We start from the raw sequence: 21,236 nt of genomic DNA on the forward strand, positions 1-21,236 counted from the left end.
GGATTACAGGCGCCCACCACCACACCTGGCTAACTTTTGTATTTTTAGTAGAGACGGGGTTTCACCACGTTGGCCAGGCTGGTCTCAAGCTCCTGACCTCAGGTGATCCACCCACCTCAGCCTCCCAAAGTGCTGGGATTACAGGCGTGAGCCACCACACGCGGCCTAGGGATTTTATGGAAGCTTCATGATGTCAGCATTACTTCCCCAGGGGTATAGGGCAGGACCCTCTTTGGGGAGGGTCCCAAGACCCGTAATCGAAAAGGTAAGATTAGAGCTCTGCAGCCCAGAGGAGGGCGGGAGATTATTTCCTGAGGCCTAACGAGCTCAGCAGTGCAGCAAAAGACTGCAACTAGGGCTTCAGGAGCTATGATCCGGGAACTGAGGAAGAAAACTACTCTCTATTCTAACACCACACACGGGAACAGAATTTTATTTTATTTTAATTTTTTGAGACAGAGTCTCGCTCTATCACCCAGGCTGGAGTCCAGTGGCGTGATCTCGGCTTACTGCAAGCTCCGCCTCCTGGGTTCACACCATTCGCCATTCTCCTGCCTCAGCATCCCGAGTAGCTGGGACTACAGGTGCCCACCACCACGCCCAGCTAATTTTTTGCATTTTTAGTAGAGACGGGGTTTCACCGTGTTAGCCAGTATGGTCACGATCTCCTGACCTCATGATCCGCCTGCCTCGGCCTCCCAAAGTGGTGGGATGACAGGCGTGAGCCACCGTGCCTGGCCTTCTTTTTTTTTTTAGACGGAGTCTCGCTCTGTCACCCAAGCTCGAGTGCAGTGGCTCAATCTCGTCTCACTGCAACATCTGCCTCCCAGGTTCAAATAATTCTCCTGTCTCAGCCTCCTGAGTAGCTGGGATCACAGGCACGTGCCACCGTGCCTGGCTAATTTTTGTATTTTTAGTAGAGATGGGGTTTCACCATGTTGGTCAGGCTGGTCTTGAACTCCTGACCTTGTAATCCACACACCTTAGCCTCCCAAAGTGCTGAGATTACAGGCATGAGCCACCGTGTCTGGCCGGGAACAGAATTTTTAAATTTTTACAAGTTCCACGATGGCAGAGACCACTCCTGTCTCCCAGTTTCCCAGCACTGAGCTGGGCTTAGGATAGGTGATCAATGAACCAATGAATCAATACAGGAATGAATCCTGGCAAATCGCCTGTTTCCCAAAAAAAGCCACAATAATGGTTCCACTCCCCGCCGCAGAGGCAGATGGAGAGGTAGAATCCGCATCCCCCTGCGGGACTGGAGCTCCTTCCAAGGCAGGGCCCCTGCGGGACGCTCACCCTCTGGACTGGGCACCAGCTGCGATGCCTGCGCTGACGGCAGCTCCTGCTGTGCAGACTCAGGAGCTGAATAAATGACAGTTGTGGTTCTAGGCTACCAAATTTGGGGTGATTCATTACGCAGCAATGAGTAACAAAGATTAATGAAAGGTGCCCACTCCATCCACAGGTGCTGTTAGGCTACCACAAACGCCCCTTACAGGTGTGAGCCTTACAGGTCATACGCCAGAGCATTTCAGTGAGCACGGGCCGGGGGCTCAGCAGCATTTCCGGTGAGCACGGGCCGGGGGCTCAGCATTTCCGGTGAGCACGGGCCGAGGGCTCAGCAGCAATTCCGGTGAGCACGGGCCGGGGGCTCAGCATTTCAGTGAGCACGGGCCGGGGGCTCGGCATTTCCAGTGAGCACGGGCCGGGTGCTCCGCAGCATTTCCGGTGAGCACGGGCCGGGGGCTCAGCAGCATTTCCGGTGAGCACGGGCCGGGGGCTCAGCATTTCCGGTGAGCACGGGCCGGGGGCTCAGCAGCATTTCCGGTGAGCACGGGCCGGGGGCTCAGCAGCATTTCCGGTGAGCACGGGCCGGGGGCTCAGCATTTCCAGTGAGCACGGGCCGGGGGCTCCGCAGCATTTCCGGTGAGCACGGGCCGGGGGCTCAGCGGCATTTCCGGTGAGCACGGGCCGGGGGCTCAGCGGCATTTCCGGTGAGCACGGGCCGGGGGCTCAGCGGCATTTCCGGTGAGCACGGGCTGGGGGCTGAGCAACAGGACACAAAACACAGGAGAGCCGGGCGCGGTGGCTCACGCCTGTCATCCCAGCACTTTGGGAGGCCGAGGCGGGCAGATCATGAGGTCAGGAGATCGAGACCATCCTGGCTAACACGGTGAAACCCCGTCTCTACCAAAAATACAAAAATTTAGCCGGGCGCGGTGGCGGGCGCCTGTAGTCCCAGCTACTCGGGAGGCTGAGGCAGGAGAATGGCGTGAACCCGGGAGGCAGAGCTTGCAGTGAGCCGAGATCGCGCCACTGCACTCCAGCCTGGGCGACAGAGCGAGACTCCATCTCAAAAAAAAAAAAAAAAAAAAAACATAGGAGAGGCCCCTGTCCTCCCGAAGCCCACAGCCAGGCAGGCTGAGGTGGGCTTAAATCCTGGACACCCGGACAGGGACGCAGGGCACGGAGGCTTCCAGGAGTGACCAATCAGAGGACACCAAAGCTGGTCCCAGGGTGCACCTCACACTCCGCCCCGGTCCCTTGAGGCCAAGGCCGACCGAAGCCCACCTCCCCTGCCCCGCCCAGCTCCCCGGGGCCTCCCCTGATCCCTGACCCTGTGCCGCCCACTGTGCCCGCCCTCAGGTCCCGAGGACCCCGTCTGTCCTAATCCCGGCATGACCCTTACCAGCGCAGCCCGGAAGCTGACGCGTCCTCCCTGGCCTCACAGCAGCATAGAGCGCGGCAATCCCCTCTGGCAGCACCCACAGGCTCCTGCCCCACCCCACAGTCCCCCTTGGAAGCTTCCTCTCTCTCCCCAGCTCCTCTGGTGGCTTCATCCAGGGCCTCCCCTCCTCCCAACAGTCCTCTGCTGGCTCCCTGGGGACATCCCAAGCCTGACACATCCAAGACGGAGCTTCCGGCCGGCTCCCTGGACCCCGGGCTCCTCCAGAGTTTCTGGTCTCTGTGGAAGCCTCTCACCCGATCCACTGAGCACTGAGACCACGGCCAGACGCCTTCCCGGGCTCCACAGCGGCCCTCACCACACCTCATCCTGAGGCACCCTGCCTGCCCTCCCTTCACTGCCCCCGGCTGGTCCAGCCAACACCCTCGCCCACCTGGACCCCCAGCCCTTCACCGCCCCCGGCTGGTCCAGCCAACACCCTCGCCCACCTGGACCCCCAGCCCTTCACCACGCCCCCGGCTGGTCCAGCCAACACCCTCTCCCACCTGGACCCCCAGCCCTTCACCGCCCCCGGCTGGTCCAGCCAACACCCTCGCCCACCTGGACCCCCAGCCCTTCACCGCCCCCGGCTGGTCCAGCCAACACCCTCTCCCACCTGGACCCCCAGCCCTTCACCGCCCCCGGCTGGTCCAGCCAACACCCTCTCCCACCTGGACCCCCAGCCCTTCACCGCCCCCGGCTGGTCCAGCCAACACCCTCTCCCACCTGGACCCCCAGCCCTTCACCGCGCCCCCGGCTGGTCCAGCCAACACCCTCTCCCACCTGGACCCCCAGCCCTTCACCGCCCCCGGCTGGTCCAGCCAACACCCTCGCCCAAATGGACTCCCAGTCCCCACCAGCCAGTCAAAGCATCCCTCCCCCAGCCTCAGCGATGGGTTCAGAGAAACCCAGCTGGCCAGTGAGATGCAGCCGGGAGCTGTTTCCGGGAGCGCAGTGCTGGGCGGCTGGGTTGGGTGCATGGGCTAGACTTTGCAGCCCTCACCTCCGCCATGTCTGCGAATAAAGCCGGCACTCAGGACAGCTGAGCGGGAGGCTCCCCAGCGTCTTCTCACCTCTGTCCCGCACTCACCACCCAGACCCTGGGCCTCTAGCCAGTCGGGCTGTCCCCACCTCAGGGCCCCTGGACGTGCTGTTCCCTCTCCCTGCAGCACTGTTCCCGCAGACCTGCCTGCTGCTTCCCCACGCCACCTGGGTCTCTGCTTATATGTCACCTCCTGAGTCCAAGATGCCTTCCTACACCATCCCGGTGGCTCTCTAACCCCTGGCATTCTTTAGAAACTGCTTATTTATGTATTTATATGCTGGTTTGTGGCCTCTCTCCCTGTGAACCCAAGGGCAAGAAGTTTACTGCTTTTGTTCACTGCTCAATCCCCAGAACCTAGATTTACACATAGAAGAGAAGGAAGAGAAGGAGAGAGGGAAGGAGGGCAAGGGAAGGGAAGGGGAAGGGAATGGAAGGGAAGGGGAGTGGAGGGGAGGGGAGGGGAAAGGAGGGGAAAGGAGGGGAAAGGAGGGGAGGGGGATAGGAAGAGAGGGGAGGGGGATGGGAAGAGAGGGGAGGGGGAGGGGAAGGGAGCAGAGGGGAGGGGAGGAGGAGGGGAGGGGAAGGGAGGGGAAGGGAAGAGAGGGGGAGAGGAAGGGAGGGAAAGAAGGAAGCAATTTTCCCCTAGGAAGAAGCTGGAAGTCATTGAGGTGTGTTAATCCCTGTAGCTGTAGTAACAAATTTAGTGACTTAGCGTGGACGTACCATCTCACAGCTCTGGAAGGCAGAACTTCTAAAATCGAGGCATGAACAGGGCTGGTCCCTCCTGGGGGCTCCAGGGAGAACCTGTTTCCTCCTTTCCCAGAGTCCAGAGGCGCCCGCATCCCTCAGCTCCAGGCCCTTCCTCCCCCTTCACCTCCAAGAGCGCAACCTCTTCCAGTCTCTGACTCTCGGCGCCCGCCCCCCACCGCCCTCTTAAACGGACCCTGTGAGGACATGGGCCCCCATCACCCCGGATGCTCTGCCGTCTCAGGGTTCTTATCACACCTGTAGAGTCCCTTTTGCCACCTGAGGTGGTACAGCCACAGATTCTGGGGATCAGGATGTGGATGTCTTGGGGGCCTTATTCCCTCTTCCACGGTGAGGAACTGGCCCGGGACTGCACAGAGGAAAGCTGACCTGGAAGCCTGTTCTGATGCATCTGGAAGCACACGGGCCCCACAGCCTTTTGCGTTTTTCCCCTTTTTTTTTTTTTAGACAGGGTCTCGCTCTGTGGCTCAGGCTGGAGTGCAGTGGTAAAATCACAGCTCACTGCAGCCTCAAACTCCTGGGCTCAGGCGATCCTCCTGCCTCAGCCTCCCAAGTAGCTGGGACCACAGGTATGTACCATCACACCTGGCTGCTTAAGAAACATTTTTTTTTTTTTTTTTTTTTTTTTTTTTTTTTTTTTGTGGAGACGAGGTCTGGCCATGTTGCCCAACGCCCCACAGCTGCTGTGTCCTGGCTCCCTGTCCCTCTCCCCTGAGGACCATATCCTCCCACATGCACCCCTCTGCCTTCTGAGAACTGTCTTTCTTCCCTACAAGGCATGAGAGCAGCAAGATGCCATCGTGTAAGAGTCTCAGTGACATCTTGGGCTCCACAGGAAGACCTTTGTACAACTATCTTATCTAACCCACTTTCAAATTAAAAAACTGAAAGTCGGGCTGGGCGCGGTGGCTCATGCCTGTCATCCCAGCAGTTTCAGAGGCCGAGGCAGGCGGATCACCTGAGGTCAGGAGTTCGAGACCAGCCTGGCCAACATGGCGAAACCCCGTCACTACTAAAACTACAAAAATTAGCCGAGTATGGTGGCGCACCTGTAATCCCAGCTACTCGGGAGGCTGAGGCAGGAGAATTGCTTGAACCCAGGAGGCAGAGATTGCAATGAGCCAAGATCGTGTCACTGCACTCCAGCCTGGGCAACAGAGTGAGACTCTGTCTCAAAATAAAATAATAAAATAAAATAAAAAACTGAAACTCATAGGCCAGGCACGGTGGCTCATGTCTGTAATCCCAGCACTTTGGGAGGCCAAGGAGGGTGGATCACATGAGGTCAGGAGTTCCAGACCAGCCTGGCCAACATGGTGAAACCCCATCTCTACTAAAAATATAAAAATTAGCTGGCATGGTGGCACAAGTCACCCACTTGGGAGGCTGAGGCAGGAGGATCACTTGAACCCGGGAAGCAAAGGATGCAGTGAGAAGAGATGGAGCCACTGCGCTCCAGCCTGGGTGACAGAGCAAGACGCCATCTCAAAAAAAAAATAATTAAATAAATAAATTAATTAAATAAACCTGAGACTGGGTTTAATGTTTGAGCGATATTTCCAAGGTCGTGGCAGAAACTAGATTTGAATTTAAGGTTCTTCTCTGCCATGTGATGGAAAACCTAACTCAAACTGGCTTAATTAACGAAGAAGGAATTTATTTTTACTTATTTATTTATTTTTGAGATGGAGTTTCACTCTTGTTGCCCAGGCTGGAGTGCAATGGCGTGATCTTGACTCACCACAACCTCCGCCTCCCAGGTTCAAGCGATTCTTGGGCCTCACCCTCCCGAGCAGCTGGAATTATAGGCATGTGCCACCACGCCCGGCTAATTTTGTATTTTTAGTAGAGACAGGGTTTCTCCATGTTGGTCAGGCTGGTCTGGAACTCCTGACCTCAGGTGATCCACCCTCCTCGGCCTCCCAAAGTGCTGGGATTACAGGTGTGAGCCACGGCGCCCGGCACGAAGAAGGAATTTAACCTGGTTGTGGTGGTGTGCACGTGTGGTCCCAGCTACCTGGGAGGCTGAGGTGGGAGGACTGTTTGAGCCCAGGAGTTCAAGGCCAGCCTGAGCAACAGGAACGGGGGCAGGGAGGGAGGAAAGGAAAATAAACTAAAAAGGCTGGGCGTGGTGGCTCACGCCTGTAATTCCAGTACTTTAAGAGGCCAAGGCAGGAGGATCACTTGAGGCTGAGAGATCGAGACCAGCCTGGCCAACATGGTAAAACCCCATCTCTACTAAAAATTCAAAAATTAGCTGGGTGTGACAGTGCACGCTTGTGATCCTAGCTACTTCGGAGACAGGTGGGAGGATTGCTTAAGCCTGGGAGGCAGAGGTTGCAATGAGCTGAGATTGCGCCACTGGACTCCAGCTTGGGTGACACAGAGAGACTCCATCTCAACACAAACGAACTAAGAGGCAAGAATTCATGAGCTTGCATCATTGGAACATCCAGGGGAGGTCAGGTAACAGCATGATGCAGGATCACTAATAGGATTATCAACGTTTCCCCTCTCATCAGCCGGCTCGGCTTTCCTGTGATGCCGCCTTTGTTCGGAGGCCCCGTGGTGACACCATGACCCCGTAACTCCAGCCCCAGGTCCTTCCAGCTCAGCCACCCCAGCACTGTGATCCCAGAGAAATGTCCCAGAGCTGAATCTCATTGGACGTCAGGAGTCACATGCTTGTTCCTGAACCAATCATTGCAGCCCAGGGTGGGGGCCCTGGGAACTGATGGGATGGCCCCTCCCTGCAGCCAGGGCTTGCGTCAGTCCAATTCGAACCCGTTCCCACAGAGTAGGGAGCCCCCAAGCAGGCAGGTGGAAGCCCCTGGTGTCCACCGCTCCCGGGTGCTGTGAGCCTGAGCCTCCCTGGGGGTCGGGGCCCTGTGGGACCAGCTGGAGGGGCTTGAAAATCTCCCCAACCCAGGCCGGGCGCGGTGGCTCACGCCTGTAATCCCAACACTTTGGGAGGCCGAGGCGGGCGGATCACGAAGTCAGGAGATCAAGACCATCCTGGCTAACACGGTGAAACCGCTTCTCTACTAAAAATACAAAAAATTAGCAGGGCGTGGTGGCATGCGTCTGTAGTCCCAGCTACTCAGGAGGCTGAGGCAGGAGAATCACTTGAACCCGGGAGGTGGAGGTTGCAGGGAGCCAAGATCGTGCCACTGCACTCCAGCCTGGGCGACAGAGCAAGACTCCTTCTCAAAAAAAAAAAAAAAAAAAAAAAGCGAGAGAAAGAAAACCTCCCTCACCCACACAGTGCTTCCTGGGATGTGGGTGTACGGAAGAAGAGAGATCTTGGGAGCCCTTAGAGAAGGAATCGTGGTTAATTCTAATTAGCATTAATTTACCCATGAGCTGCTGCCTGCCGGCTCCATGATGCTGGCAATATATCCACGACCTGTGGCACGGAAGAGACTGAGGCTCACAAAACCCTGGGAACCTTGGTGAAGGGGCCACAGCCAGAAGGCCCCACTAGTCCCGAGACCCTCCTTTTACTCCAGGCCCCCAGGGTGCCGGGCAGAGGGGCCTGAGGGAGGAGGCCCAGAGGCCCTTACGGGTGAGGACGCCTCGGCCTCGGCCCTGGACAGCTCTGGAAGTGACCGCTCGGCCCAGAGCTCTTTCTTGGATCCCTCCCTCCCTCTCCACTCCTGATGCTGTTTTCCTTTCCCCAGACAGGTTTGCCTGCTGGTCCTCTTCCGGGGACCAGACTCATGAAGCCGGGGCCAGGTGTTGGGGCACCTGCGGGACAGAGTGGCCCTGGTCCCAGACTGGTTTTTGTTTTTGGTTTTTTTTTTTTTTGAGACGGAGTCTCTGTCGCCCAGGCTGGAGCGCAGTGGCGCTATCTAGACTCACTGCAAGCTCCGCCTCCCGGGCTCACGCCATTCTCCTGCCTCAGCCTCCCGAGTAGCTGGGACTACGGGCGCCCGCCACCACGCCCAGATAATTTTTTGTATTTTTAGTAGAGACGGGGTTTCACCATATTAGCCACAATGGTCTCGATCTCCTGACATTGTGATCCGCCCGCCTCGGCCCCCCAAAGTGTTGGGATCACAGGCGTGAGCCACCGTGCCCGGCCTGTATGTTGATGCAGCTGTGTGTACCCAGGGCATAGCAACAATGCCACTGGCACAGTCCGAGGGCAGGGCCACCCGTCACGGGCACGACTCAGGGGAGGCTGGGCTGCCCCGTCCTCACCACGGCCAGTTCTCCCGACCAAGCTTCACAGCAAGGAGCATGTGGGTGTCTGGGCAGCCACTGAGCCAGGTCAGAAGTCAGGTGGGGTCACAGTGATGCCCGGAATCAGCTGGGGTCAAGACTCAGGTGGGCTGGGCGCGGTGGCTCATGCCTATAATCCCAGCATTTGGGAGGCCGACGCAGACGGATCCCTTTATTAGTCCAAACTGCATCCTCCCCTTCCTTTCAAAACCTAACAACACACTTGAGGTCAGGGGTTCGAGACCAGCCTGGCCAACATGGTGAAACCCCATCTCTACTTAAAATACAAAATTAGCCGGACGTGGTGGCGGGCACCTGTAATCTCAGCTACTCGGGAGGCTGAGGCGGACACTAGCTTGAACCCGGGAGGCGGAGGTTGCAGTGAGATTGTGCCACTGCACTCCAGCCTGGGCCACAGAACGAGACTCTGTCTCATTTAAAAAAAAAAAAAAAAAAAAGACTCGGGTAGGACAAAGGTCAGGCTGGGAGGAGGGCACAGCCAGGCTCGGGCTCAGCTTGGGGTGGGGGCTCCGTGGGGCTGGCGCCTCTCCCGGGTCAGGTGCTGAGCCGATGCTGGCCGGCGTAGGCCTCTTTCCCAGTTTCTCTGGGGGGCAGGAGCACCTTGCCAACCTCTGATGGCTCCAGCGCCTGCACTCGCCTCACACCACATGGTGACTTCAACGGGGACCAGGGAAGCCCTCGCCCCTCCCACCCCTCAGAGCCCTCCCCGACCTCGCCCACTTCTCAGAGCTCCCGCTGTCGGGGGAACCGAGGCAGCGCCGCGCCTGGAAGCCAGGTCTGCGGATCCCGCCTCGCTCCCGCCCCTTCCTCCCTTCCGCGTGGCCAGCGCGACCCTAGGACAGACTTCGCGCCCGTCCCCTGCACAGACGGGGAAACGGAGACGGGGACGCGGGGTCGCGCCGGATGGACCGGCCCTGCCCCTCCGGTCCCGGTCAGGACCCCGCGCCGCGCCCCGTTCACCGCCCGCGGCCCCGCCCCGCGCCGGCACGTCACAAAACAACCCCAAAGCCGGGGGACCGGGCCGGTGACGGCGCAGAGCAGCCCTGCCCGCCTCCTTGCGCACAGCGTCCGCGGTGCTGGTCGAGCAGGGGGCGACGGCGGCGGCCTCGGGGATCGGAAGAGCCCGGGGCTGCGCGCTCGAACCCTCCCTCCCGGCGGAGGCGCTCGGCGCCGTAGGCGGGACCGGGGCCGGGACTCCACCTCCCGGCGTCCCCTGCGGCCGGGCGCGCAGGCGCAAGTCGGACCTGGCCGCGGAGCGCAGGCGCAGTCGGGGCCAGGCGGTGCGCGCAGGCGCAGCGGGGGGCGGGGCGCGCGGGCCCGGCCAAGGCAAGCGCCGGTGGGGCGGCGGCGCCAGAGCTGCTGGAGCGCTCGGGGTCCCCGGGCGGCGGCGGCGGCGCAGAGGAGGAGGCAGGCGGCGGCCCCGGTGGCTCCCCCCCGGACGGTGCGCGGCCCGGCCCGTCTCGCGAACTCGCGGTGGTCGCGCGGCCCCGCGCTGCTCCGACCCCGGGCCCCTCCGCCGCCGCCATGGCTCGGCCGCTAGTGCCCAGCTCGCAGAAGGCGCTGCTGCTGGAGCTCAAGGGGCTGCAGGAAGAGCCGGTCGAGGGATTCCGCGTGACACTGGTGGACGAGGGCGATCTATACAACTGGGAGGTGGCCATCTTCGGGCCCCCCAACACCTACTACGAGGGCGGCTACTTCAAGGTGAGCGCGGCGACCCCCGCCCGGGTCCCGGAGCCCACGAGCGACCTCGGGCGCCGGGAACCAGCTCCCTGCCCCGCGGTCCTAGCGCTGTTGCTGGGCGGGCCCCGAAGCCTCCTGGCTTGGGCTCGTTTCCCTTCTATGGCCACGTTCCCCCACCCAGCTCTGCCCGGCCCCCTCCTCGGACCGTCTCGGGGACCTTCAGCCTCTGCTGCAGTCCTCGAAAATCCCCAGTTCCCTTCAAGGCATCGTCCGGTCCCCTGTTAGGCTCTTGGCCCCCGGAGGGGTGGCCGGGGGCCCTCCCTGTAGCATCTGGGCGTGGGGCTCTTGCCCACCTCCTCCTTGGCGGGGGCTGGACCCCGGCTGCCTCCCCCTCCGCCCCTGCGAGAAAGAGGGAGCGGAGCCCAGGCCGCGCCGGCCTTTCAGCTGCCCTCCCCGCCCTCCCCGGAGGAGACAAAGAGGCCCCCCCAGACCCCGTAGCTGCTATTGTTGGGGAGCTGGGCCCGTGAGCGGGGGAGCGAGGCCAGCCTGGGGGTGGCTGGCGCGGCCACTCGCTCAGTCTCCAACAAAGGCCCGGATGAGCCTTGGCAGCCAGGACCCGCCTGGAAAGCGGCCACCCTTGCCAGTAGCAGCCGGCCAGGCGCCCTGGGCTCCATCCCCTGCTTTATGTAACCTGCGCCCTCGGGAAGGCCGAAGTAGGGGCGTGCCTCCCACCTGCTCCCTGCAGCTCTCTCCAGGCCTCCCGGCTCGGGCCCGCGTCCCGGACCCCGACCTCAGAAGCTCCGGGCTCGCTCATCCCAGCTGGTCTTGGCCTTTCTCAGAGTCCACTGAACAGGTGGCTTCTTGGGACCCAAACCCCGAGTTCTGGGCCGTTTCTTCTGCCCTCTGGCGGTTTAATTCCAAGCAGTTTCTGGATGTTTTTGTTGTTGTTGGGAGCGGGGAGGCTGTTTCTGTCTCATGTGAAAAGGACTCAGGCCAAAACCAGGGCAGTTTTCTTGATCTCACGATCCAGACGTGACCTTTGACTTCTTTTAGCGTTCAGGGACCTCGTTCTTGGGGCCAGAGGGACAAAGCGAGGGGCCCTGTGTGAGCGGTGGGGAACGAGCACCCTGTCCAGGAATCTCCCCCTCCCACCGTCACTTCCTGCCAAGAGCCTGGACACGACACGACACTGCAGGGCCCGGCCCGCTCTGCCCCGGCCAGCTGCGGGCGTGGGGCCGAGGGACCGATGCCTCCCGCACGATATGTGTCTGCTCTCCGAGCTAATTAGTGTCTGAACCGCACCCGCTCAGCGGCTGTGAGGGCAGCAGCCTGGTCTGCTGGGGGCGATTCCTGAGCAGAGAGTGGGACGCCCGTGGGTTCTGCATCTGGAATCCTGCGTCCCCACACAGGGAACAGAGTTTGGGTCTCGAGGTTGCCAAATGGTTTTAGCAGCTCCTCCGCCAGCCCCTTCTGTCTGCTTGGGGGAGCAGCTGGCTGAGGAGCCGCAGCCCCACCTCGAAGCCAGGCCTGTGAGGCGGCTGCTGTTCTGGAAGGAGGGGATGGGGGTTTCTGGCTGCTGTGCCCACCAGACCGGTTGCCAGGGATTGTGGGCAGAGCTTCCTGGGCCAGCATTAGGGGATAATCCGGTTTTCCGGATTTCCCAGGGAGGGGGCCTCTAGACATCTGCCACAGGGTCAGTCCTCAGAAGCCAGTGTTGAGACGGGGGTGCTGCCACCCACGAGGACTCTCCCTTCCCGCTGTGCCTGGGAGGGAGTTGGGGGAGCGTGGAAATACAGAACCTGCTGAGTGCCCAGGGCCGCTGCTGCCCAGCCACTGCCTGCAGCTGCTGTTCCTTCAGGAGCCAAAGTGAGCCCTGGGGCAGGGGCCGCCAGAGAGAGCCCTCCACAGCCGACTTGCTGTCTGCCCTTGGCAGGGCGCTTTCCTTTTCTGAGCCTGGGTTTGCTCCGGGGAAAAGACATTCTTAGAGGTGCCCAAAATAAGAGGCTCATTGGGACTTGGTGGGGTTTGGTACAGATGAGGCCTTGGCTGTTGTCAAGGATTGCCGCCTGAAACCCAGCACCAGGCTTGGGGGGCCTGAAGTCTTGGGGAACCGCAGGACAGTTCTGAGACTGAAGTTCCAGCCTTGCTCTGTGGCCGCGGCCAAGTCACTTGCCTTACGGGGCACCAGTGAGTTCCCTGTCAAACAGAGGACACCCCCCAAGACACCCCGCGTGCCCTCCCTGTCCAGGAGGGGCCCGTCCACGATCCAAGACCCCCAAAGTGCCCTGCCTGTCCGGGAGGGGCCTCGCCCACAATCCAAGACCCCCGAGTACCCTCCCTGTCCAGACCTCGCCCACGATCCAAGACCCCCTGAGTGCCCTCCCTGTCCAGACCTCACCCACGATCCAAGACCCCCTGAGTGCCCTCCCTGTCCAGACCTCGCCCACAATCCAAGACCCCCGAGTACCCTCCCTGTCAAGGCCTCGCCCACGATCCAAGACCCCCGAGTGCCCGCCCTGTCCAGACCTCGCCCACGATCCAAGACCCCCGAGTGCCCTCCCTGTCCAGACCTCGCCCACGATCCAAGACCCCCGAGTGCCCTCCCTGTCCAGACCTCGCCCACGATCCAAGACCCCCGAGTGCCCTCCCTGTCCAGACCTCGCCCACGATCCAAGACCCCCGAGTGCCCTCCCTGTCCAGACCTCGCCCATGATCCAAGACCCCCGAGTGCCCTCCCTGTCCAGACCTCGCCCACGATCCAAGACCCCCTGAGTGCCCTCCCTGTCCAGACCTCGCCCACGATCCAAGACCCCCTGAGTGCCCTCCCTGTCCAGGCTTCCACCACGATCGCTCTGGGGGTGCTGCTCTCGTGCCTTGGAGTGCTGAGTGCCACCAGGACCCCTGACCCAGACAACCTCTGTGTCTGGCACTGGGGCCCAGCAGGAAAACAGTGAGGCTTCCTTGTTTACCTGCTGTGGCCCAGGAGGGCCGTGGGTGGCATCACGCCCCAGGCTGCAGGCCAGACAGCTCTGTCACCTGGCACGTGGCTTCAGGCCTCCCTCTGTGGCCGTCCTTGCCAGCAGATCTGGACCTCCAGGGCCTGGGTGACCACAGGGGGCGATGCTGACAGGGAAGGAGTCCTGCCAGGTTTCTGTGACCTATGGGTCTGCCTGCCTGACCCCCCAAGACCGGACACCTGAGGGCAGACGGCCATACTGACTCATCCCCTCCCACGGCCTGGGCCAGGGCAGGTGTCACAAGTGTTTGCTAACTGAGCAATCATCTGTGCTAACCCTCCCCACACCCTGGCTGCCAAGGCCCTGGAGGTGCAGCCCTGGTCCTGGGCTTCAGCTCCATCCAAGGGGAGCCTGGAGCCCCTGCCAGTCCATTCTGTCTGCTGGTGGGTGCCCCTGGCCTGGGTCCCATATGCCTGACCTGGGCTGCCACGGGCCTGGAGCCACGCGGGCAGCCAGTGCCCACGTTCCCCAGCAGTTGTGCTGGGCCGGGTCCCGGCCACCTGGACTGTGTAGGAGCTGGGATCAGCTCGGGTGACTCAGAAAAGGCTTCAGGCAGCCTTCTGGGGACTTGACCCCAGGCCTGTGAGAGTCCCTGCCTTGGGCAGGATACGGTGTCCCTCACACACACCCTCAGGCACCAGCACTGGGAGTGGGATGGCCTTGGGCACCTTGTGAGCTGGGGCAGGTCTTGGGGCTGGGCTGGACTGAGCCACCTGCCTTCTGCCCCTGCAGGCGCGCCTCAAGTTCCCCATCGACTACCCATACTCTCCACCAGCCTTTCGGTTCCTGACCAAGATGTGGCACCCTAACATCTACGAGGTGAGCGCGGCCCCCACGGGCCTCAAGTCCTCATCCTCCGGGACCCAGGGTGCTGGGAGCCTCACGTCCTCATCCTTCCGGGACCCGGGGCGCTGGGAGCCTCACGTCCTCGTCCTCCGGGACCCGGGGCGCTGGGAGCCTCACGTCCTCGTCCTTCCGGGACCCGAGGCGCTGGGAGCCTCATGTCCTCGTCCTTCCGGGACCCGGGGCGCTGGGAGCCTCACGTCCTCGTCCTCCACGTCCTCATCCTCCGGGACCTGGGGCACTGGGAGCCCGTGCTGACCTCTGACCTGTTCTGACCTGTCTTCTTCTTGTGCAGACGGGGGACGTGTGTATCTCCATCCTCCACCCGCCGGTGGACGACCCCCAGAGCGGGGAGCTGCCCTCAGAGAGGTGGAACCCCACGCAGAACGTCAGGTAAGCCGGCCCAACCCCCTGTGTCCACCCAGAACATCAGGTAGGCCGGGCTCCGTCCCGTATCCACCCAGACCATCAGGTAGGCCGGGCTCCCCCACAGGCTGTGGCGCCAAGGCCTGATTCGGGACCTGCCAGCTGGCGGTCCTGGGCCTCGCTGTACCTGCACGGTAGGTGCTTTCACGGGGCCTGCGGCACCGTGTGTCGGTGCAGACTCCCACCAGGACCCCAGGCCGGCCCCACCGTCTGGAACCACCTAGAGGTGTCCCGCCATCCTCAGTCCTGGGGCCTTCTCCTTACCCAGCCGTCTCTGGGTTGGTCACCTCGTGCCACGTGTGCCGCCTGGGCCTCGTCCCCAGGTACAAGCACTGGGCCGTGTTGCCCGTGTGTCCTGGAGTGTAGTCTAGGCAGGACGTGCGGGTGTGAGGGCAGCCCCGGGTCTGACGGAGGGGTCTGCACCTTGCTGCCCTCCCTGGTCTTGGCGTGGGAGGGAGGAGACTGATGCAGGTCCAGCCCCTGCTGTTCTGGGGGCCTGAGACAGAAGCAGAGGCCATGAGGCCAGGTGAAGGTCACCTGCTGGGTGGGTCCAGGCGTCCCCGTGACCCTCAGGGCCAGAGAAGAGCCGGAAGGCTGGGGTGCCCCGGGCCGCCCCACTCCGACCCACTCTCCCCACAGGACCATTCTCCTGAGTGTGATCTCCCTCCTGAACGAGCCCAACACCTTCTCGCCCGCAAACGTGGACGCCTCCGTGATGTACAGGAAGTGGAAAGAGAGCAAGGGGAAGGATCGGGAGTACACAGACATCATCCGGTGAGGGCGGGCGGGGGCGTCACGGGAGGAGAGACTCAGATCCGGCCTGCACCCCGGCCCCTGGTCCCACGGCCGCCCAGCCCCACCTTCCTGGTGAGGGTGGCGGAGCTTCCTGGTGCCCATTTACAGGGTGCCAGTCACAGATGGAGGCCGGGCCGAGTGGCGGAGGGTCCAGCCAGGTTCAAGCCCAGCTTCTTGCCCCTTTTCCTCTTTTTTTTTGTTTGAGACAGAGTCTCTCTCTGTCACCCAGGCTGGAGTGCAGTGGCGCGATCTCGGCTCACTGCAAGCTCCGCCTCCCGGGTTCACGCCATTCTCCTGCCTCAGCCTCCCAAGTAGCTGGGACTACAGGCGCCCGTCACCACGCCCGGCTAATTTTTTGTATTTTTAGTAGAGACGGGGTTTCAGCGTGTTAGCCAGGATGGTCTCGATCTCCTGACCTCGTGATCCATCTGCCTCGGCCTCCCAAAGTGCAGGGATTACAGGCGTGAGCCACCGCGGCCGGCCTTTTTTTTTTTTTTTTTTTTTGGAGACAGAGTTATACTCTCTTGCCTAGGCTGCAGTGCAGTGGTGCGATCTCGGCTCACTGCAGCCTCCACTACTCGGGTTGGAGCAGTTCTCCCCCTTCATCCTGCCAAGCAGCTGGGATTACAGGTGCCCACTACCACGCCGAGCTAATTTTTGTAATTTTTAGTAGAGGTGGGATTTCACCATCTTAGCCAGGCTGGTCTCAAACTCCTGACCTCAGGTGATCCACCCGCCTCGGCCTCCCAAAGTGCTGGGATGACAGGCGTGAGCCACTGCACCTGGCCTGGTGGTTAGTGTTTTCATAGATTCTTCCAGGCTTTTCAGTTTAACGCATGTCTGTGCTTTAATGAAGAAATGGGGTCGTGCTGTGTGTGCCCAGTGACTGACTGTTAGGGAACATGTGTCTGTGCCTTAATGAAGAAATGGGGTCGTGCTGTGTGTGCCCAGTGACTGACTGTTAGGGAACATGTGTCTGTGCTTTAATGAAAAAATGGGGTCGTGCTGTGTGTGCCCAGTGACTGACTGTTAGTCAGGGGTGTTGGCCTTACTCATGTCTGGAGTGCGTCCCTGCAGGCTCTTGGCCTGGTGAGCTCTGGGTACAGCTGTGCAGTCGCCTACCGGCGCCTTCTGTACCTGCAGTCCACTTAGCTTGCGTGGCTGTGTGTGGTGACCCACGGCTCTCCCTCTCCTCCCATCGCCCTCATGCCCCAGAGCTGAGCCCCACAGCCCCTTCTCTTGGGTGCCTGTGTTCACATGAATGTGTAAACACGTGCGTGTCTGTGTACAAAGACAAGGCTTTCTTTACGGGTTGACGGCCTTAATGGTTCCTGCTCTTCCTGTTACATAGAGGCCCTTCCTATCCATTTTTTTTTTTTCTCAGAGTGATATTGCATAGATTTCCTCACAGAGGCCTCACCTATTTTTGTTGGTATTTTGTATAAACAGAATCTTAAAAACAACTTTTAAAATATTGCACACATAATGCATGTGTCTTCCTCGCCCCAGGACCCAGGAGCATCCAGGGCACCTTCCATCCTGCACTCGCTGGTACCTGGTGTCGTGGGGTCATCTCGGGGCAGCATCCTGGTGCTGGGCGGTCTCGGCTCTGAGCAGCCATGGTGGGCGGGCCCCGTGCGGCCTCCTGGGAAGTGGCCTGCAAGCACCTGCTGGCCTCTGGAGGTCACAGGGTAGCTGCCCTGGCCGTCCCTCTGGTGCAGATGTCCTCGGTGGCCCCGGTCCGGTCGTGTCACCTGGCCCAGGTGGCTGGCTCCTTGGCCCGGTTCTTCCCGGCCACCTCCCTGAGGCACCACCTCCTTGAGATCCCAGCACAGAAATAAAAGCCACACTATTTTTATCCCTCAAAACTCCCTGTGGGCCAACACACATGTGCCATGTGGACTCTGCTGTGGTCGCCGTTTCTGCCTGTTTTTTCATCTGTGTGCGTGTTGGCCTCGTGGCAGCCCAAGTCCCGCTGAGCTGTGTCGGGCAGGCTGCCGTGGAGCCCGGCTTGGTCAGGGATGTTGGTCTTGCTGAACAGGACCTCCAGACCGTCCTCCAGCTCATGCTGGCGGTGTGCCGGCGGCACCTCCACGGTGCAGGTCAGTTCCCACCCTGGCCCTCCCCTGCGTCTCCCCACAGCCGCCACCTCTGCGGTGCCGTCCCCGGGGCACCGTCACCCCCCCAGCCCGTCCACCCTGGCCCTCCCCTGCGTCTCCCCACTGCTGCCACCCGTGCAGTGCCGTCCCCGGGGCACTGTCAGTCACCCCCCCAGCCCATCGGAGAGCTTGGAAAGCAAAGCTTGGCGTCCGCTGGGTCCCGCCACCCAGGGACGTCCCTGAGGCCAGACGCCTGCCCTCCACGCGTCATGCATCCCCATAAAAAGCACTGGGCTTGTGGGCTGGGCTTGGGGCTGTCTGTCTGCTCCCTGGTGCCCTCCCATGCGGGCACTGTGGGACCCGCACACCCTGGTAGCAGCCAGCCCCAGAGCCCAGAGCCGTGCCTGGTCGGTGATAGGGGCTCGAGCCCATTGCCTGCGGCTGCAGCCTCGTTCCTGTTTTCTGTCAAATGGGGTCAGCGTGCCGCCTGGCCCTGCTGTGCCACCCCCGGAAGCCCCTTTGCTTCCAGTCCTGGGGGGACATTCTTGACGCGTGTCCTGGAGGTGGAGCCGGGGGCAGGTTCCTCGTAGGTCCTGGTGTGCGCGGTGCAGCCCCTCATAGGGCCGGGTGTACACGGTGCCCTCCAGGAAGTTTGAGCTAACTTGTCCTCCCTTCCTGCCAGAGGCTGGGATGGCCAGGCCCCCCAGGTTTAGAATCCGGAGGCCGGGGTGGCCAGGCCCCCAGGTTTAGAATCCGGAGGCCGGGGTGGCCAGGCCCCCCACGTTTAGAATCCGGAGGCCGGGGTGGCCAGGCCCCCCAGGTTTAGAATCCGGAGGCCGGGGTGGCCAGGCCCCCCACGTTTAGAATCCGGAGGCCGGGGTGGCCAGGCCCCCCGGGTTTAGAATCCGGAGGCCGGGGTGGCCAGGCCCCCCGGGTTTAGAATCCGGAGGCCGGGGTGGCCAGGCCCCCCGGGTTTAGAATCCGGAGGCCGGGGTGGCCAGGCCCCCCGGTTTAGAATCCGGAGGCCGGGGTGGCCAGGCCCCCCGGGTTTAGAATCCGGAGGCCGGGGTGGCCAGGCCCCCCGGGTTTAGAATCCGGAGGCCGGGGTGGCCAGGCCCCCCGGGTTTAGAATCCGGAGGCCGGGGTGGCCAGGCCCCCCGGGTTTAGAATCCGGAGGCCGGGGTGGCCAGGCCCCCCGGGTTTAGAATCCGGAGGCCGGGGTGGCCAGGCCCCCCGGGTTTAGAATCCGGAGGCCGGGGTGGCCAGGCCCCCCGGGTTTAGAATCCGGAGGCCGGGGTGGCCAGGCCCCCCGGGTTTAGAATCCGGAGGCCGGGGTGGCCAGGCCCCCCGGGTTTAGAATCCGGAGGCCGGGGTGGCCAGGCCCCCCGGGTTTAGAATCCGGAGGCCGGGGTGGCCAGGCCCCCCACGTTTAGAATCCGGAGGCCGGGGTGGCCAGGCCCCCGGGTTTAGAATCCGGAGGCTGGGATGGCCAGGCCCCCGGGTTTAGAATCCAGAGGCTGGGATGGCCAGGCCCCCCGGTTTAGAATCCGGAGGCCGGGGTGGCCAGGCCCCCGGGTTTAGAATCCTGCTGAGGCCACGGAGAGGCTCAGGCCGTTTTTGCGTTTCCCATCTCACCTGTGCTGGTTCCCGTCTCCAGGGATGGTCCTGCCTCCTGTCCTTGGGCCCTCCCAGCTGCTTCCTTTGCTCCTGCGCTGAGGAAGGCTTTTGCCCCCCAGTGGGGCAGCATGGGCCCTCCCTGTTGCCGGCATCGTTATTTTCTCCCAGCTCCTGATGGGTCCCTTGGGTTGTGCTTCGGGGCGGGGCAGGCGGGTGTGACTGCACTGCGCCCGTCCAGCCTCCCACCCGCACCTCCTGCCCTTCCCGAGCCCCCTCCTCTGTCATTTCTCCCCCTGGAGTTCCTCACGCACAGGGCTTTGTCCTAAGTGGTCGCCACACGCCGTTTTAAGAGAAACCTGAGCGTTGGGGTGAGCGTCGGACCTGGGGGAGGGGGGCCGGGCAGGGGCCGAGTCCAGGCACGTGGGTGGCGCCCTCACCCACCCTGTCCCCCCAGGAAGCAGGTCCTGGGGACCAAGGTGGACGCGGAGCGTGACGGCGTGAAGGTGCCCACCACGCTGGCCGAGTACTGCGTGAAGACCAAGGCGCCGGCGCCCGACGAGGGCTCAGACCTCTTCTACGACGACTACTACGAGGACGGCGAGGTGGAGGAGGAGGCCGACAGCTGCTTCGGGGACGATGAGGATGACTCTGGCACGGAGGAGTCCTGACACCACCAGAATAAACTTGCCGAGTTTACCTCACTAGGGCCGGACCCGTGGCTCCTTAGACGACAGACTACCTCACGGAGGTTTTGTGCTGGTCCCCGTCTCCTCTGGTTGTTTCGTTTTGGCTTTTTCTCCCTCCCCATGTCTGTTCTGGGTTTTCACGTGCTTCAGAGAAGAGGGGCTGCCCCACCGCCACTCACGTCACTCGGGGCTCGGTGGACGGGCCCAGGGTGGGAGCGGCCGGCCCACCTGTCCCCTCGGGAGGGGAGCTGAGCCCGACTTCTACCGGGGTCCCCCAGCTTCCGGACTGGCCGCACCCCGGAGGAGCCACGGGGGCGCTGCTGGGAACGTGGGCGGGGGGCCGTTTCCTGACACTACCAGCCTGGGAGGCCCAGGTGTAGCGGTCCGAGGGGCCCGGTCCTGCCTGTCAGCTCCAGGTCCTGGAGCCACGTCCAGCACAGAGTGGACGGATTCACCGTGGCCGACTCTTTTCCCTGCTTTGGTTTGTTTGAAATCTAAATAAAACTACTTTATGAGAGGCCAGAGAAGCTGTGCTTGGGAGGGAGAGGCAGCCTCCACGTCCATGAGTGACTGCACACGGCCAGTCCCACTGGGACCCTGGCTACGCCAGGTGTGGATCTGGGAGGCCTGTCCTGGGAGGCACGGGGAGCAGCCGGGTCCCGCGGCCTGTACGTTCCCATGACTTGGGTCAGACAGGCCTGGGCAGCATCCCCCAGCCTGCGGGACAGGGGCGGCCAGAAAGCCCCCAGAGTTCCTCCTCCCTGTGACCAGGTGCATCTAGTGGGACGGGAGCTGCCTCTGCAGGCATCCAGCAAAGCTTCGTCGCGGGTCCACAGCCGCCTGGGCGTTGATCTCAGCGTCTCAGGGCTCCCAGGACCACAGATGCCCCCGATCAGCACTCCGGCGGCTCCAGCTCCGTCCAGGCACACCCTCGGGGTGGGGAGCCGTGGCCCTGGGCACACAGGGCAGGCACCTCACGTCCTGGTGTCAGGAAGTCCCCAGCATCGTTTTATTACATGTCATGGAGGAAAGCTCGGAGCTCCCATGCCCTCCCGGGGCACCGCCTTCCAGGAACCTGCCTGCGTTCCGCTTCTGGGCACCCGGAAAGTCGCTCAGTGGCTGATTCAGGGTCGAGGAGCTGTGAGGATGAGGTTTCCCACCAAGTTGGGACAGAAAATGGGGCCCTGGGGTCTCAGCAAACCATGGCCCTCGGGACCAAACCTGGCGTCCGCCCCTATTGTGAGTGAAGTGTTACTGGCACAGCCACACCCAGGTCTCAGGATC

General features: G+C 62.0%; 1 protein-coding gene across 3 annotated transcripts, besides 12 other annotated features; it reads left to right on the forward strand.

Annotated features, from left to right (window-relative positions):
- Positions 9,647 to 10,386: a silencer, noted in NCBI's record as "silent region_9604". NCBI's record gives its function as "represses an Ori minimal core promoter by ATAC-STARR-seq in GM12878 lymphoblastoid cells {active_cell/tissue: GM12878}" and the evidence as "EXISTENCE:reporter gene assay evidence [ECO:0000049][PMID:35858748]".
- Positions 9,647 to 10,839: a biological region, named in NCBI's record as "H3K27ac hESC enhancer GRCh37_chr19:531801-532457".
- Positions 10,142 to 20,469, forward strand: CDC34 (cell division cycle 34, ubiquitin conjugating enzyme). Of its 3 annotated transcripts, none has more exons than NM_004359.2 (5): positions 10,142 to 10,490; positions 14,219 to 14,305; positions 14,625 to 14,722; positions 15,395 to 15,529; positions 19,721 to 20,469. In NM_004359.2, the coding sequence occupies exons 1-5, from the start codon at positions 10,314 to 10,316 to the stop codon at positions 19,932 to 19,934; spliced, it is 711 nt and encodes a 236-aa protein (NP_004350.1). In that variant the 5' UTR covers positions 10,142 to 10,313; the 3' UTR covers positions 19,935 to 20,469. The 3 variants fall into 3 exon arrangements, with proteins under 3 accessions (NP_004350.1, XP_006723015.1, XP_005259747.1); XM_006722952.3 differs by having other exon boundaries at positions 19,725 to 20,469; XM_005259690.4 differs by lacking the exon at positions 19,721 to 20,469 and adding an exon at positions 17,060 to 17,418.
- Positions 10,183 to 10,839: an enhancer, noted in NCBI's record as "H3K27ac hESC enhancer chr19:531801-532457 (GRCh37/hg19 assembly coordinates)". NCBI's record gives its function as "activates a minimal SCP1, AML or CMV promoter by ChIP-STARR-seq in naive H9 embryonic stem cells {active_cell/tissue: H9 hESC(naive)}" and the evidence as "EXISTENCE:reporter gene assay evidence [ECO:0000049][PMID:30033119]".
- Positions 10,807 to 10,976: a silencer, noted in NCBI's record as "silent region_9605". NCBI's record gives its function as "represses an Ori minimal core promoter by ATAC-STARR-seq in GM12878 lymphoblastoid cells {active_cell/tissue: GM12878}" and the evidence as "EXISTENCE:reporter gene assay evidence [ECO:0000049][PMID:35858748]".
- Positions 11,237 to 11,286: an enhancer, noted in NCBI's record as "active region_13559". NCBI's record gives its function as "activates an Ori minimal core promoter by ATAC-STARR-seq in GM12878 lymphoblastoid cells {active_cell/tissue: GM12878}" and the evidence as "EXISTENCE:reporter gene assay evidence [ECO:0000049][PMID:35858748]".
- Positions 11,357 to 11,516: an enhancer, noted in NCBI's record as "active region_13560". NCBI's record gives its function as "activates an Ori minimal core promoter by ATAC-STARR-seq in GM12878 lymphoblastoid cells {active_cell/tissue: GM12878}" and the evidence as "EXISTENCE:reporter gene assay evidence [ECO:0000049][PMID:35858748]".
- Positions 12,499 to 13,075: an enhancer, noted in NCBI's record as "H3K27ac-H3K4me1 hESC enhancer chr19:534117-534693 (GRCh37/hg19 assembly coordinates)". NCBI's record gives its function as "activates a minimal SCP1, AML or CMV promoter by ChIP-STARR-seq in naive H9 embryonic stem cells {active_cell/tissue: H9 hESC(naive)}" and the evidence as "EXISTENCE:reporter gene assay evidence [ECO:0000049][PMID:30033119]".
- Positions 13,076 to 13,651: an enhancer, noted in NCBI's record as "H3K27ac-H3K4me1 hESC enhancer chr19:534694-535269 (GRCh37/hg19 assembly coordinates)". NCBI's record gives its function as "activates a minimal SCP1, AML or CMV promoter by ChIP-STARR-seq in naive H9 embryonic stem cells {active_cell/tissue: H9 hESC(naive)}" and the evidence as "EXISTENCE:reporter gene assay evidence [ECO:0000049][PMID:30033119]".
- Positions 13,561 to 13,620: an enhancer, noted in NCBI's record as "active region_13561". NCBI's record gives its function as "activates an Ori minimal core promoter by ATAC-STARR-seq in GM12878 lymphoblastoid cells {active_cell/tissue: GM12878}" and the evidence as "EXISTENCE:reporter gene assay evidence [ECO:0000049][PMID:35858748]".
- Positions 13,831 to 13,880: an enhancer, noted in NCBI's record as "active region_13562". NCBI's record gives its function as "activates an Ori minimal core promoter by ATAC-STARR-seq in GM12878 lymphoblastoid cells {active_cell/tissue: GM12878}" and the evidence as "EXISTENCE:reporter gene assay evidence [ECO:0000049][PMID:35858748]".
- Positions 13,921 to 14,040: an enhancer, noted in NCBI's record as "active region_13563". NCBI's record gives its function as "activates an Ori minimal core promoter by ATAC-STARR-seq in GM12878 lymphoblastoid cells {active_cell/tissue: GM12878}" and the evidence as "EXISTENCE:reporter gene assay evidence [ECO:0000049][PMID:35858748]".
- Positions 14,101 to 14,262: a silencer, noted in NCBI's record as "fragment chr19:535719-535880 (GRCh37/hg19 assembly coordinates)". NCBI's record gives its function as "represses an EF-1alpha promoter that drives an FKBP-Casp9 reporter gene in an ReSE screen in HepG2 liver carcinoma cells {active_cell/tissue: HepG2}" and the evidence as "EXISTENCE:reporter gene assay evidence [ECO:0000049][PMID:32094911]".
- Positions 20,470 to 21,236: the final 767 nt, after the last annotated feature.

This window comes from Homo sapiens, chromosome 19 (assembly GCF_000001405.40).
Source record: "Homo sapiens chromosome 19, GRCh38.p14 Primary Assembly".
NCBI classification, from domain to species: Eukaryota; Metazoa; Chordata; class Mammalia; order Primates; family Hominidae; genus Homo; species Homo sapiens.

What these genes read in the sequence shown, in the direction of transcription:
- CDC34 (XM_005259690.4), top strand. Translation starts at nt 10,314, where the DNA reads ATGGCTCGGCCGCTAGTGCCCAGCTCGCAGAAGGCGCTGCTGCTGGAG. An exon ending in ACGAGGGCGGCTACTTCAAG is followed by an intron (nt 10,491 to 14,218) that starts GTGAGCGCGGCG and finishes CTGCCCCTGCAG; the next exon opens with GCGCGCCTCAAGTTCCCCAT. An exon ending in AACCCCACGCAGAACGTCAG is followed by an intron (nt 14,723 to 15,394) that starts GTAAGCCGGCCC and finishes CTCTCCCCACAG; the next exon opens with GACCATTCTCCTGAGTGTGA.